This window comes from Homo sapiens, chromosome 18 (assembly GCF_000001405.40).
Source record: "Homo sapiens chromosome 18, GRCh38.p14 Primary Assembly".
Taxonomy (NCBI): domain Eukaryota; kingdom Metazoa; phylum Chordata; class Mammalia; order Primates; family Hominidae; genus Homo; species Homo sapiens.
The window spans coordinates 80,126,109-80,142,613 of NC_000018.10; the positions used below are offsets into that span (position 1 = coordinate 80,126,109).

The 16,505-nt window shown below is 42.5% G+C and overlaps 1 protein-coding gene across 5 annotated transcripts in view; it reads left to right on the forward strand.

Moving 5' to 3' along the window:
• ADNP2 (ADNP homeobox 2) overlaps positions 1 to 14,238 on the forward strand; it is a 31,085-nt gene extending 16,847 nt beyond the window's left edge. For 4 of the 5 annotated variants that reach the window (NM_014913.4, XM_011525883.3, XM_047437350.1 and 1 more), the window contains 2 exons: positions 6,995 to 7,084; positions 9,504 to 14,238. In NM_014913.4, the coding sequence (NP_055728.1) occupies positions 6,995 to 7,084; positions 9,504 to 12,701 (3,288 nt within the window). In that variant the 3' untranslated portion in view covers positions 12,702 to 14,238. Of the gene's footprint in view, positions 1 to 6,081; positions 6,270 to 6,994; positions 7,085 to 9,503 lie in introns of all 5 variants that reach the window. The other variant, XM_047437351.1, reaches the window with a different exon arrangement.
• Positions 14,239 to 16,505: the final 2,267 nt, after the last annotated feature.

Sequence of the window (16,505 nt, forward strand, 5' to 3'; positions counted from 1 at the left end):
ATTGAATATTTTTATTCCATTTTATCTCTATTACTGGCTTATTAGCTATACATCTTTTTCTCTGACTTTCTTAATATACTACTACTTCTTCTACAGTATAAGAACCTTAGAGTAGTATGCTTTAATTTCTTCTTCCAGCCTTTGTTCTGTTGTTGTTATACATTTTTTCTTCCACATGTTAGAAATCTTACAATATGTTGTTACTTTTATTTTAAACTGTAAAAAAGAAAAAAATTATATTGATCTACATGTCATTGATGATAGTCTTCATCCCTTTGCGTAGATGTGTATTTCCATCTCGAGTCATTTCCTCTGCCTCCTGAAGGACTTCATATTTTGTAGTGCTGATGTGCTTAATTAACTCACTATACTTTCTCTCTAAAAAAAAGTTGTCTTTTAGGAAGGAAGAGATTTTTGCTAGGTGTGGAATGCTATTTTTTTCCCCTTTTTATATTTTAAAGATTTCACTCTTGTCTTCTGGCTGGCATTTTTTCCAACAATATGTTTTCTGTCATTTTTGTTCCTCTCTGTATTTTTAATACTTTGACTATAATGTGCCTTGGTTTGGTTTTCTTTGTGTGTCTTTTGCTTAGAGTCTGGTGAGCTTCTTGATTTTGTGGGTTTATAGTTCTCATCAGATTTGGAAAATTTTGTGGCATCATTTCTTCAACTAGTTTTTCTTCCCCTCACCCGTTTGTCCCTGATACTCAATTACACACACAGTAGTTCCCCCGTATCCTCAGTTTTGCTCTCCACAGTCAACCACGGTTTGAAAATATTATATGGAAAATTCCAGAAATAAACAATTCATCTGTTTTAAGTTCCATGGCATTCTGAGTTGTCTTCATCTTGTCACGTGAGGCGCCACACAGGCATCGTGTCATCGCATGCCACCACAAGAAGGGTGAGCACAGGATGTAAGATACTTTGAGAGACCACATTCACAAAACTTTTATTACTGTATATTGTTACAATTGTTCTAGTTTATTATTGTTGTTAATATCTTCGTGTACCAACTTCCTGTACCAAATCTAATTTATAAGTTGTATTTTATTGTAGGTATGTCTGTATAGGAAAAAACGTAGTATATGTAGCGTTTGGCACTGTCCACAGTGTCAGCATCCACTGGGGTCTTGGAACATGTCCTTTGCAGATAAGGGGGGACTCCTGTATATTAGGCTCCTTGATACTGTCCCATAGCTCATTGATGCCGTTGTTGGGGTTTTTTCAGTTTTTTTTTTTTTTTTTTTTTAACCATTCCCTCTTTCATTTTGTGTATTTCTCTTGCTTTATCTTCAGATTTACCAGTCTTTTCTTCGGCAGCATCTAATCTGCTCTTAATCCCATGCAGTATATTTTTCATGTTAGTGCATTTTTCATTCATGGAAGTGCAATTTACCATCCATCTTTCACTTTCTTTCACTTCTCTCGTTGCGTTCATGTTGTTCTCCTGGTTTGGGGTCATATTTTTCTGCTGCTTTGTATGACTGGAAGTTTTTGTTTTTTGTTTTTTGACTGGCAGTTTTTGACTACACACTGGACATTGTGTTTATGGGTGCTAGAGTTTGTTGTTTCCTTTAAATATATTTGGGCTTTGTTCTAGAACATGTTTAAGACACTTGGAATTTTTAAGCATTGCTAGAGTGGGTCTGGAGAGCCTGGGACTGTGGAGACAGACCTTGCTGTGAAGGCTTGACTTATGTCACTGTATTAAGGGGTCATTCCCCTCTCCCGGTGGACTCTGGCATTTTGATAGTTGTTTTACCTTCTCCTTTCACTAGTTCCCACTAGTGAGCCAGTAGAAAAGTCCCACTGGTTTTCTCACACATGAGAGCCTCAGTGCTCAGAAAAAGTCTTCAGGAGACCCTGTGCAAATTTATCACAAGGTCAATATGGCAGGATGCCCCTTTTTAATAGTAGCTTACTTCTTTTGTCTATTTTGAAATAGTGAATTCTTGCTTTCTATCAGGTGATAATGACTTCATAATTACTGTGGGGCTCTTGTTAATTCCAGCCTTCTTTATTCATTTCTGCTGCTCTAGCAGCATCTTTTAATTGGGCTTAGATTCTTGTGTGTGCTGGTTTTGAAGATGTACTGACAGTTCCTTTGTGTTTCCTAGTGTTTATGCTTATTTCTGTTTGTTTCAGATATGTTTGCTCTTTGTTGGAATCAGAATAAAGGACCTGTGTGTTGTATACTTTATCTTTTAAGATAGTTCTGAAAATAACCTAATTTTCAGTAGAAATCTTTGTAATAACTTGGCCAGGTGCGGTGGCTCATACCTGTAACCCCAGCACTTTGGGAGGCCGAGGTGGATGGATCACGAGGTCAGGAGATTGAGACCAGCCTGGCCAACATGGTGAAACCCCGTCTCTACTAAAAATACAAAAATTAGCCCGACGTGGTGGCATGTGCCTGTAGTCCCAGCTAGTGGGGAGGCTTAGGCAGGAGAATTGGTTGAACACGGGAGGTGGAGGCGGCAGTGAGCCGAGATTGCACCACTGCACTCCAGCCTGGGCGACAGAGCAAGACCCCGTCTCAAAAAAAGAAATAAATAAATAAAAATAAAGAAATATTTGTAATAACTTGTCTTTTTCTTGTTAGTTCTGAATTGACTTGGTAAGCTACATACTAGCGTAGAGTTAAAGGTAATTGTATTAACTATTTTTCTGTAGCTTTTTTTTTAAAGTAATCATTGTTATAAAAATAATACTGTAATCTATGAATGTTTGAAAATGCAGGTAACCGTTTCTAATTAGAAAATGAAATTTAAAATGCCACATTTCTGTCATTCAGAAGTTGCCACCATTAACATCGTATTGTTAGCTGTTTCTGTGTGTTTATTGTTCTTACCATGAGATTGTATTGATTAGCTATTTTACCACTTGCTTTTTTCACTTTTCTCTGTTCTGTCTTGTCATGTATTACATATTCACCTTATTTAATATGCAGTCCATACTCAGATTTCTTCAGTTTTACCCAGAACTTTTTTTTTGTTTTTTTTTTTTTTTTGAGATGGGGTCTCGCTCTGTCTTCCAGGCTGCAGTGCAGTGGTGAGATCTCGGCTCACTGCAAGCTCTGCCTCCCTGGTTCAAGCAATTCTCCTGCCTCAGCCTCCCATGTAGCTGGGATTACGAGCACCCGCCACCACGCCCAGCTAGTTTTTGTATTTTTAGTAGAGATGGGGTTTCACCATGTGGCCAGGCTGGTCTCAAACTCCAGACCTCAGATGATCCAGCCACCTCAGCCTCCCAAAGTGCTGGGATTACAAGTGTGAGCCACCACACCCGACCCCCAGAACATTTTTTACACTCGGTTTATGTAAGCCAGGATTTGTTGTGGACCCTGTTACATCTAGTGGTTGGGTTTGCAGTGCTTTCCCTGACTGTTGGCCAGACCAGCCTCTTGTCCTGCAGAGATGCCCCTCCTTCCAGATGTGTCTGGTACTTTCTTATAGTGTTGTTTCAGCTTAGTCCCCTGTCCCCTGAGCTTCTTTTAAATGAGAAGTTCTACTGAAAGGCCCAGTTGATTCAAGTTAAACATTTTGGGCTAGAATATATATGATGTTCTATGCTTCTTGTGTCACTTCAGGGACCCCAGTCATATTTTGTTGCTTCAATACAATAGATGGCAGTCTGGTCTTTGTGTGCATTATGTTCTTTCTGTGGACTGGAATGCAATGCATTTAACACCTGTTGATGATCCTGGTCCTAGATGGTAGTTTTATTTGGGGGCTTGCTGTGAATGAGGTGTTTCTGATTCTGTCACATGTAGATTGTTAGCAGACATTCTTCTGTAAACTCTTGTTTTACTCAGCAGTTGGGACTGTTTGGTTTCTCTGAAATATAGTGCCTCTGGGAAAGGCAGGATAGTTTTATCCTTTCCTTTGAGCTGTGACTTTTCAAAGTGAGTAGTTAGTTAACCTTTCCCAATGGTGATTCGTGAAATGCCTTTTTTTCTGACTTTCTTGAGCACTTCTGTGGATCTCCTGTGACTTCGTGTGTTTGGGTCTCTACGGCCATTTGTCTTTCTGATGCTCAAATGTTACAACATCCAGGTGCTCCTGGTGCTTTTGTCATGACCCCTCCCCTAAAGGGCCTGTGAGGATGGGCCCATTCTTTGAGCATTTGTCTCATTTGTCTTTGAGCATTTGTACTTATACTTTTCTGTAGGTTCTGAAGTTGGCTTCGTGAGCTAATTCTGAATGCACTGTTACCTCACAGGACTGTCCATATCACGCGATTATGGACTTGATACGTCTTTATGCTCACTTCTTAATACAGTCTGCACTTTTAAATAAGTGAGCTATGCTGCACAGGTAAAGAAAGTGTTTTGTATGACTACACTTTCTACACGCTTTGTGAAGTAGCTGAGAGCAAAACAGGAGTAGATTTTTACTTCTTTCAACTCAGAGAAAAAGAAGAAAAGTAATCTTGGGCCACATGGACTTTACAATTTTAGAAATGGAAAATGTTTTTCTTGTACACCTTCTCAGTGTCTGATTTTCACTTTTTGATACAGTTTTATTTAAAACCCTCTGCCGCCCTGCACTTCATCAGGATTCTGCCCCAGGCCTTGTTGTTTCTCTCTCTCCTGTTCCCTCCCTGTCATGTTAGCCACCCCAGCCCCCGCCCCCCCGCCCACGTCAGGTCAGGCAGACACAGTTGGAGCTCTCTGCGTTATACTCCTTTACCACTTCACAGTCATTATTCATAGCACCTACCACCCATGAAAGACAGTAGTTTCTTGTGAAAAACAATTTTACAAAATATCTGTGTTTCTCAGTTGTGAAACTGTGAGGTTGGGATCCCATCTGTCTTATCCATGGTTGGGTTCCCAGAGTCCAAAAGGAAATATTTGAGGGTTGGATTAGTGATGACTGCGAAAGGATGAGGTAGATTACTGTTCTGTGGAGCTTGTAATTGTTTTGTCTTAGGCCATTTTACCTGCACGTAAGGTGGAGGCCTTCCTTCTACGTTTCCTCCCTTCCCTACCTGCTGCCAGCAGGCTTTGGAAGTCAGCCGTTGAACCCCTGCTCTGAGGATGCTGCTGCTGTGGGAGGTCTCGGCTCATGCATTTCTGGCCTCTGGACCCCTTTCTGGGACCTGCGTGCTCCTCTTCTCTCCATGTTCACCTGCCCCTGAGAGTTACCAATACGCAGTGTGTTTCTCACACTACTGCCTCTTTCAGCTGATTGTGAGGTTTTCCTGACACCCTTGTCTACACTATAGGTCTTTTGCATAATTTTCTCACTCTAGCAAGTGTAACTTTTTGAGTGAAAAATGATTGATTCCATCTGAGAAAAAAATCCTCTATACGTTCTAGATCTTTGTTTAACTGCTTTGAAAGGTATTTAAAGAGTAAGAAAAAAATACACTTTTCTTTCATTCCCTAAGACGAATGGATTGAACAATAGCGGTAAGGTATAGTTTAAAAAGACGGTGTTCAAGATGAAGATTCTTTTTTTTTTTTTTTTTAATTATACTTTAAGTTCTAGGGTACATGTGCACAACGTGCAGGTTTGTTGCATATGTATACATGTACCAATACTATGCAGCCATAAAAAAGGATGAGTTCATGTCCTTTGCAGGGACATGGATGAAGCTGGAAACCATCATTCTGAGCAAACTGTTGCAAGGACAGAAAACCAAACACTGCATGTTCTTACTCACAGATGGGAATTGAACAGTGAGAACACTTGGACACAGGGCAGGGAACATCACACACTCGGGCCTGTCATGGGGTGGGGGGCAGGGGGAGGGATAGCATTAGGAGAAATACCTAATGTAAATGACGAGTTATAAATCATGCTACTATGAAGATACATGCACATGTATGTTTATTGCAGCACTATTCACAATAGCAAAGACTTGGAACCAACCCAGATGAAGATTGTTTTACTTTGAAGTACTTTTTTGTTTCTTTATATGTACTCATGAAGCTACATGGGTTTTAGAATCCTTACGTTTAGGCTTTGCGTACATATAGAGGATGTAGATAGTTATTTGTTGGGAGGTCTCCTCTGTTTATTTCTTATGAATCTGTAATTTTGACTTGGATTATTTCAACCTTTTCCTCAGATTTCATACTTAAAGGGTACTCCATCAAAACTTGCTGAGAGCTTTATAGTCTGTCCTCTGTATCCAGGGGTTCTGCATCTGTTGATTAAACCAACTGTCTGTTGAAAATATTTGGGAGAGAAAATGCATGGTTGCATCTGTACTGAACATGTACAGACTTGTTTTCTTGTCACTGTTCTCTAAACAAGGTAAGTAGGAAGATGTGCATAGGTTACATGCAAGTAACTGCACGATTTAACATAAGAGACTTGAGCAGTCTTGGATTTGGTGCCTCCAGGTGGTTCTGGAACCAGTCCCCTATGGATACCGAGGGATGACTATACTTTCATTTCTCTTTTCCCCTGTAGATTTCTTAGGTACCAAGTAATGTCATCAGGTTCATTCTTTTTCCTTCCTTCCTTCCTCTCTTTTCTCTTTCTCTTTCTCTTTCTTTTTTCTCTTTCTCTCTTTTTTTCTCTCTCTCACTCTCTCCTCTCTCCCCTCTTCCTCCCCTCTCTCCTCTCCCCTCCCCTCTCCCCTCTCCCTCTTTCTGTCTCTCTCTCTCTCTTTCTTCTTTTCTTTTTCGATGGTGTCCTGCTCTGTCTCCCAGGCTTGAGTGCAGCTCACTGCAACCTCCACCTCCCGGGTTCAAGCAATTCTCCTGCCTCAGCCTCCCGAGTAGCTTGGAGTACAGGCATGTGCCACCATGCCCAGCTAATTTTTGTATTTTTTGGTAGAGATGGAGTTTCGCCATGTTGGCCAGGCTGGTCTCGACCTCCTGGCCTCAAGTGATCCACCCTCCTCAACCTCCCAAAGTGCTGGGATTACAAGCATGAACCACTATGCCCGGCCTTATAATCTCATCAGGTTCTAATTAAATATTTCTTTATCTTCTGAATTTACATAATCTCTTTTTTTTCTCCCTTTTTAAAAGGACCTTAAAGGCTTTGATCCAGGAGAGAAATACTTTCATAACACATCATGGGGTGATGTTTCTCTCTGGGAACCTTCTGGAAAGAAAGTGGTATGTATTTTTTGCATTTGTTTTTCATGTTTCCTCAAAAGTGAGCAGTGACTGTAAATGTGGTCTAAAGAACATCACATGTATTGGGGTTGCTGGTGAGTGAATGGGGAGGAGGAATAATGCAACCTTTCAGAGAAGTAGCAAGAAACCAAGTATAGTGTGTGGTCAGGCAGGGTTACTGATGCTCTGTTCTGTGTGCAGAGTTGATACAGTGATGCAGTGAAACTGTTGTTTGTCCTTGATTATAAGATATCATTGCTGTAAGAAGGACGTTTGATTTAATAATTGTTCTGAGTAAAACAAAATGCCACTACATTAAGTGCATACAGTGAATGTACATCCTGGTTTCAGAAACTGAAATAAAAATGTAGACCTCTGAATCAAGGAACATTTTAAGTAATTAGAAACCTCAAACTTTTAAGCAAATTCAGGCTAAAACATGAGCCATACTGCTGAATTCTCATTAAAGTGTTTTCTGGGACACCTTTTCTGCCACCAGTTGTTAGCACCTTCCTCGGTATCAGACTCAGCTCATCCCAGACTTGACTTGGCTGTCCCCTCTCACCAGCTTCTGTGGTCAAAGTCATGCTGGCCTTGGGAATTTGGGCTTTAAGGTATTTCAGTAATTAGTCGTTGTCAGAATTTTTTTTTTTTTTGGGGGGACAGGGTCTCACTGTTGCCTGGGCTGGAGTCCAGTGGCGTGGTCTTAAGCTCACTGCAGCCTTGACCTCCTGGGTTCGAGGTGTCTTTCCACTTCAGCCTCCTGAGTAGCTGAGACTACAGGTGCATGCCACCATGCCCAGATAAGCATTTTTATTTTTATTTTTTGTAGAGGTTTGTTGAGACCCATTTTTCAGTCTCTGACCTGACACTCTCCTCTCTACCATGAGTTGCAAGTTTCCTTGAAACCACTGTGATTTAGTTCTCCTCCACCTGAGCACAGCTTGTGGCTACTACAGGATGCCTCATTTAGCAGATCTTGACTTCATGAATAGCAAGCCCCATTGATTTTTCTCATCCGAATTCTTAAAATATCTCGTAATGTAACTCCAGTTACTCAGGAGGCTGAGGCAGGAGAATCGCTTGAACCGGGATGGCGTAGGTTGCAGTGAGCTGAGATCACGCCACTGCACTCCAGCCTCAGTAACAGAGTGAGACTCTGTCAAAAAAAACAAAAAACTGAAGAATGGAAGAGTGTGTGTGTGTGTGTGTGTGTGTGTGTGTGTGAGAGAGAGTGATAATGAGCACACAGATTTAGGAAAGGATGAGAATTAACCCTTGATCACTGTGGTAGTACCACAGCCAGCTCTGGGGCTTTAGATGAAGCTAGGTCTTAGCTTCCTTGTTTGTGGAACTGGGGAGCAGGTGTTTTGTGTTTCACCAGCTCTGGGTTCTCAAGACTCTGTCATGAGACCAAAGATTTCACTGTGCTCTCAAGTTATTGCAAACCAGCAAGTCTTACTAGATGTTAGAACAGATTGCATCCTGTTGTATGAATATGCTTTTAGGCCGCGAACTTGTTAAATTTCCCAAAATGTGCTTTAAATAGAAATCCCATATGGTCAGTGTTGCGTTCTGTGGCCTTACCCTTATCTTAGGGTCATCCATAGTGTGAGTTTAGGCTTAGTCTCACTTTCTTTACTGTTTTATCAGATAGTTTATTGGGTACCTGCATGGGCCAAACACTGTCCATTTGGCTCCTACCTTCTCTAGAAATAGAGGAAGTAGAAAGATAGTAATGATGGGTTTAACATTTTGAAAGCTAGGTTAGTTATGGATAAATTCCAGAGGTTTTAGAATTTGGAGCAAAAACAACATTGGAATTAAGAGAAATGGGATGAGGGGGAGAAAATAACTTTCTTTTGTAGAAAATTAATGAAGCTTTTAAAATTGATGCTGTTATTAATAATTCAGAATACAGGACTAAGTAATTATATTTGTGGTTTTAGTGGATGACTTAGAACAGGGGTCAGCAAACTATGAGTTGTGAGCCAAATCCTATATTTGTATGAATTAGCCCGTGAGCCATGAGCTAGGAGTGGTTGTTAGGCTTTTAAATGTTTAAGAAAAAAATGACAATACTATTTTGTGACATGTGGAAAGTATATGAAATTCAAATTGGTGTTTGTAAATAAAGTTTTATTGGAACATAAATTACAAATTATTTTGGGGACTTTTGTACAACAATGGCAGTGCTGAGTAGTTGCCACAGAGACTGTACTGTATGGCCCACAGTCCTAACATAATCACTCTCTGGCCCTTCACAGAAAAAGTTTGCCAACCCCTGGGTTAGAAAACATTAAGTCAGGTTAAATGCCTAGCACATTAGAAGAAAAGGGATCAAGTCCTCAGGGACTGTGGAAGGTTAGCATCTGACAGTTTATTCAATTATGCTTAAGGCTTTCTTTTCTTTTAACAGAGATATCGAACAAAGCCATACTGTTGTGGCCTCTGTAAATACTCTACAAAGGTGCTTACTTCATTCAAGAATCATTTACATCGTTACCATGAAGATGAAATTGACCAAGAGCTGGTGATCCCTTGCCCAAACTGTGTATTTGCATCTCAGCCCAAAGTTGTGGGAAGGCACTTCAGAATGTTCCATGCACCTGTCCGGAAAGTCCAGAACTACACAGTGAATATTTTAGGTGAAACTAAATCATCTAGGAGCGATGTGATAAGTTTCACATGTCTAAAATGTAACTTTTCAAACACTTTGTACTACAGCATGAAGAAGCATGTGCTGGTAGCCCATTTTCACTACTTAATTAACTCCTACTTTGGCCTAAGAACTGAGGAAATGGGTGAGCAACCGAAAACTAACGATACTGTTTCTATAGAGAAGATCCCACCACCTGACAAATATTACTGTAAAAAGTGCAACGCCAATGCCAGCAGCCAGGATGCGTTAATGTATCACATTTTGACATCAGACATACACAGAGATTTGGAGAATAAGCTTAGATCTGTGATTTCAGAACATATTAAGAGGACTGGACTCTTGAAGCAAACGCACATTGCTCCAAAACCAGCAGCACATTTGGCTGCACCAGCAAATGGCAGTGCTCCAAGCGCTCCAGCGCAGCCTCCTTGCTTCCATCTTGCTTTGCCACAGAACAGTCCAAGCCCAGCCGCAGGACAGCCAGTGACTGTGGCCCAGGGTGCCCCTGGAAGCCTCACTCATTCCCCCCCTGCTGCTGGCCAATCCCACATGACTCTGGTCTCCAGCCCTCTGCCTGTGGGCCAGAACAGCCTCACCCTGCAGCCCCCAGCACCTCAGCCCGTCTTTCTTTCTCACGGGGTTCCACTTCATCAGTCTGTGAATCCTCCTGTGTTGCCCTTGAGTCAGCCAGTCGGACCTGTCAATAAGTCTGTTGGAACTAGTGTCCTCCCCATAAATCAGACTGTTCGCCCTGGGGTTTTACCCCTCACCCAGCCTGTGGGACCCATAAACAGACCTGTTGGGCCTGGTGTTCTTCCTGTGAGCCCCTCTGTCACCCCTGGGGTCCTGCAGGCTGTCTCGCCAGGGGTGCTTTCTGTGAGTCGGGCGGTCCCGTCTGGAGTCCTTCCTGCAGGCCAGATGACTCCTGCAGGCCAGATGACTCCTGCAGGGGTTATCCCTGGGCAAACAGCAACTTCTGGGGTTCTTCCTACTGGCCAGATGGTCCAGTCAGGAGTTCTCCCTGTGGGCCAGACAGCTCCGTCACGGGTTCTTCCCCCAGGCCAGACAGCCCCATTGAGGGTTATCTCTGCAGGCCAGGTGGTCCCGTCTGGGCTTCTTTCTCCCAACCAGACAGTCTCCTCCTCAGCTGTTGTGCCTGTAAACCAGGGTGTGAATTCTGGTGTTCTGCAGCTTAGTCAGCCTGTTGTGTCGGGAGTTCTTCCTGTGGGCCAGCCAGTGAGGCCTGGGGTCTTGCAACTCAACCAGACTGTGGGCACCAACATTCTGCCTGTGAATCAGCCAGTGAGACCTGGTGCTTCGCAGAACACCACCTTCCTGACATCAGGCTCTATTCTCAGACAGCTCATCCCTACAGGGAAACAAGTGAATGGGATTCCAACCTACACGCTGGCCCCCGTGTCTGTCACTCTGCCGGTTCCCCCTGGAGGCCTTGCGACTGTCGCTCCGCCCCAGATGCCCATCCAGCTCCTGCCGTCAGGTGCAGCTGCACCAATGGCCGGTTCCATGCCCGGCATGCCCTCTCCTCCAGTGCTGGTGAATGCTGCTCAGAGCGTGTTTGTTCAGGCCTCCTCCTCTGCAGCAGACACAAACCAGGTGCTCAAACAGGCCAAGCAGTGGAAGACCTGCCCTGTCTGCAACGAGCTCTTTCCGTCCAACGTCTACCAGGTCCACATGGAGGTAGCGCATAAGCACAGCGAGTCCAAGTCTGGTGAGAAACTTGAGCCTGAAAAACTGGCAGCGTGTGCACCATTTCTAAAGTGGATGAGAGAGAAAACGGTGCGATGTCTGTCTTGTAAGTGCTTGGTCTCTGAGGAAGAGCTTATACACCACTTGCTGATGCATGGCTTGGGGTGCTTGTTCTGTCCATGCACCTTCCATGATATCAAAGGTCTTTCAGAGCACAGCAGGAATAGGCACCTGGGGAAGAAGAAGTTGCCTATGGATTATAGCAACAGAGGTTTTCAATTAGATGTCGATGCCAATGGCAACCTGCTCTTTCCCCACCTTGATTTCATCACCATATTGCCAAAGGAGAAGCTTGGGGAGCGGGAAGTCTACTTGGCAATCCTGGCTGGGATACACTCCAAGTCACTGGTGCCTGTGTATGTGAAGGTGAGGCCTCAGGCTGAGGGCACCCCCGGGAGCACCGGCAAGCGAGTGTCCACCTGCCCCTTTTGCTTTGGCCCCTTTGTGACAACTGAGGCCTATGAGCTGCATTTGAAGGAGAGGCACCACATCATGCCCACAGTCCACACGGTCCTGAAGTCTCCCGCCTTCAAGTGCATCCACTGCTGTGGGGTCTACACGGGAAATATGACCCTGGCTGCCATCGCCGTCCATTTGGTGCGCTGCAGAAGTGCTCCCAAGGACAGCAGCTCAGACCTGCAGGCCCAGCCGGGTTTTATTCACAACAGTGAACTGCTTTTAGTCAGTGGTGAAGTGATGCATGATTCCAGTTTTTCTGTTAAGAGAAAGCTGCCTGACGGCCACTTAGGGGCCGAAGACCAGCGGCATGGGGAGGAGCAGCCTCCCATCCTAAATGCCGATGCAGCCCCGGGTCCAGAAAAGGTGACGAGTGTTGTGCCTTTTAAAAGACAAAGGAATGAAAGCAGAACAGAGGGACCTATTGTCAAGGACGAGGCTCTTCAGATTTTAGCATTAGATCCTAAAAAATATGAAGGCCGTTCTTATGAAGAAAAGAAGCAATTTCTTAAAGATTATTTCCATAAGAAACCATATCCTAGTAAAAAGGAAATAGAACTGTTGTCCTCACTCTTTTGGGTGTGGAAAATTGATGTGGCTTCATTTTTTGGAAAAAGAAGGTATATTTGCATGAAAGCAATAAAAAATCACAAGCCTTCTGTACTTTTAGGCTTTGATATGTCTGAACTTAAAAATGTGAAACATAGATTGAACTTTGAATATGAACCATAAAACTTGCAAAAAAAAAAAAAAGTAACTCTAAAGTAGTAGGTAGATTTTTTTCAGTTGAAATTTCACAGTGTTGTCCTCACTGTGTTGGTGAATCAACCTCAGTGGTCACTGTGCTGCTCTGCAGAGTTACTTCAGGTGCTGGAGAGACCCCTGTTACCAGGAAGCCAGTAGTTATTTCACATCTATTGTTTCCTGCAGTTTGATTTGTAACAGAACAGTTGTTTTCAGGTTTTTTTCTCTGTCATGTAAATGAAATCTTTTGATATTTCATGCACGCCTTGTTTTCCCACTAGTGTCAGTATCGTATGATAAGAAACTGAAATCTATAAATAATTTGCTTTTTCATTAAGGACATTTCAGCCTTTTTCAGAATACTTGATTTAACTGCGAGTGGAAGCATCGATCTCCTTCAGCTTTCCCTGTAGCAGCAGATGGTACAGTGAGTGTTCAGAGACGTGGGTACAAACCCTGTGATGTATGTATAAGGCTCCCTGAGGATGCACTGCATTAACTTACGCTGACTTCTTTGTAAGATCTTTGCTTATAGATTATAATTTAGATCTGTATTTTTTTAGGTTTATCCTAATAGCTGTTTTTTTTTTTAACCATAACTCATAGAAAATCAAATGTTTTTATTTGTTAAAAGTAGACTGAATTTGACATCTGGTATGCTGGTATGTAGCTCATACATCAAGAGTTATTTTACAAATAAATTTATTCTGTAGATGCAGAAATATTTTTCAGTGTAGATTTTCCCTTTTGATATGCTAAGTCATTTCTCCGTTCAGAGGTAAAACAATAAATTTTTAGTGCCTTTAGAATAAACATTGAAAGAATACACCCCAAAACTCTTCTCCTAACTTAACTACTCATAAACTAGTGAAAGGGAAGGTCTATGATACTCAGGAATAAGATTATTGCCCCTGAGTGTGAAAACTAACTTAAATTTCAGCATAGGGTTTCAGGGGACATGGCGAAGTTTACAGACTGAGATCTCAGTCTCCATGGTTGGTACAGTAAGTCTTTGACCACATTTTCTGAAGGTCATGTTTAGTGGAGAAACGGGCTTTTCTCTAGCTGGTTTAGGCTGGAAGCTGTGTCCGGGTCGATGGGATGGCATATTGTTAAAGAATCTCCATTGTCGTCACTGTCCTGTGGATGTTAAACCTCGTTTTTTTCCCCACACGATATTAAAACTTAAAGCACCAGAACCAGTCATGGAGACCAGCCAGTTTAGATGGTAAGTCATATTTCTGGTGGTACACAGCAGAGGAACCCCTTCACTCTATCTTTAGGTAGAAATATTTGGAGGATGTGACAGCCTCTGAGAAACATAATGTTACTATGTGGATTTTAAAAAATATAATACTTGCATGTAATTGCTATAATGTTCATATTTGAGGCAGTTGTGAAACTGGTTTATGATTGTTGGTGTACTCTGTTGTAAATTCAAAGAGAGCTTGTTGAACATTTTTTTTTTTTACCTATTGTTTTCAGAGTGTCTATTTTGAATTAAAATTTGTTACACCGCTGCAAATAGAACTGTTTAATTCTTTTAAAAGTTAAAACATTATTGTGAATCATAGGGATAACCTCTATATGGGAATAGATACCACATTTATTTTCTAAAAAAACCTTACCTGTCATTTGTGTGAAAATAAGAACATAACCCAAAAGGTCTAATTACTGGGGTCACAAAATAGGTGTAACTACAGATTCCTGATGATTCTATACTGGTAGCCCCCAAAGTGCCAAAGAAGGTATGTAACTGGGGTGTCAGTGCTGTGAAGTTTCCTTCACTGTGGCTGTGTTCAGGGTGAGTGTGGAGGAGGTGCTGATGAGGAGGCAGCTGCCGTCTGGCGTGGTTGAATCCTCACCTTCCTTTTGTTGTGTACGTTAGGGTTTCCCAGCCTCAGCACTGCTGACATTTTGGGTCAGGTAATTCTCTGTGGTGGGTGGCTATTCTGTCACTGTAGGATGTTGAGCAGTGTCGTTAGACACTAGTAGCACGCATGTCCCTACTCTCTCCCCATTGTGGCCACCAAAAATGTCATTACCAGGTGGTCCCTGAGGGGCAGAATCTTGTCAGAACCCTGGTAAAAGAGCTGATTTCTTGGTGCAGTTTAGCTGTGGTAGAACTGTTCATGCTGTCTTTAATGTTATGCTAGTTGCTGGTTACTAGTTTTTTAGGATTAGAGATTAAGATTTGATAGAAGCTGAGCTTCAAAAAGCACATGTGGGAGTTCTTGCAAATGTAAGAAATTTATTATTTGAAAATGAAAAAATGAGTAACAGATTAATAGTTGTGAACAAAGTTTAAACTTATTAAATTTAGAAGGAAGGAGTTTTTTAAATACAAAAAATTGTGTACTTTAAAATATTTAATCTACCTATGTAGCAGCAGCTTTAAAAATACTACACACTTGAAATCTATTCAGGTAAAACACATTTAAATATAGCATACTATTTTAGCTTCTCTGAATTTTGTTGCTCTTCTTTTTTTTTTTTGAGACGGAGTCTCGCTCTTTTTCCCAGGCTGGAGTGCAGTGGCACAATCTCGGTTCACTGCAACTTCTGCCTCCTGGGTTCAAGCGATTCTTCCACCTTAGCCTCGCGAGTAGCTGGGATTATAGGTGCATGCCACCACGCCTGGCTAATTATTGTAGATGGGGTTTCACCGTGTTGGCCAGGCTGGTCTTTAACTCCTGACCTCAGGTGATATGCCCGCCTAGGCCTCCCAAAGTGTTGGGATTACAGGCATGAGCCACCATGCCTGGCCTAAAATTTTTTATTGTAAACAGAATCTTGCACTGGTGCCCATGCTGGGATACAGTGGTGTGATCATAGCTCACTGCAGTCTCGAACTCCTGGGCTCAAGTTGTCCTCCTGCCTCAGCCTTCTAAGTAGCTGAGGTGCCTACCCATCATGCCCAGATTATTTTAAACAGTTTTTGTAGTGATGGAGTTTTGCTGTGTTGCCCAGGCTGGGCTTGAACTCTTGGCCTCAAGCCATGCTGCCACCCCTCAGCCTCCCAAAGTGCTGGGATTACAGGCATGAGCCACCAGGCTGGGCCTCTGTTACCCTTTTTTAGCAGCTATTTTAGTCTGATGACTGTTGTGTGCAGTTTCTTAGATTCACTAAACAAAGCAGCAGTTAATTAAGCACTAATTAAGAAAACTTAGCCCCAGAACTGTCCTAATTTTCAAGGTCTTTTTAGAAAATAGCACACATGTACTAACTGCTTGATATTGCTAGGAAAGGGGCTGCATACTTGATGATAGTCATCCTTGCTGCCTCCTGTGCCTGTGGCATGGCCATCAGCATGCGTTCTCACATTGAGTCCTACCGAGTGAGTGGTAGTCTCCCCTCTCACACCTGAGGAAATTGAGGCATGGAGGTAAATGACTTGCCTGAGGTGGAGGCCTGTGAGGGTGGACAGTGCTAGAGTGATAGCTGAGTGGCTTCTAACATGTATTATCCCATTTAAATCTCACAATAACCCTATAGGTATTAAGTTGTCTGTGTTTTCTAGAGGAAGAAACAAGCTCAGAGGCAGAGTTGGCTAGCTGTCCCAGTTTGCTAAGAACTTGAGTGATTTCTCTAGACTTCAGTGCTAAAAAGGAACCTCTTAGGCAGAGGGACAAGCTCGTTACTCCACTCAAATTTCAGTTTGCCCAGGAAGACATGTTGCTTCTCAGTGGTACAATATTATCGTTAGACCTGTACATTGCCCTTTGGGTATCAGGGTGAATAGGGCATCCTGATCCTAGACATCCTTTTTCTGGTGGTGCTGTCAACAATAAC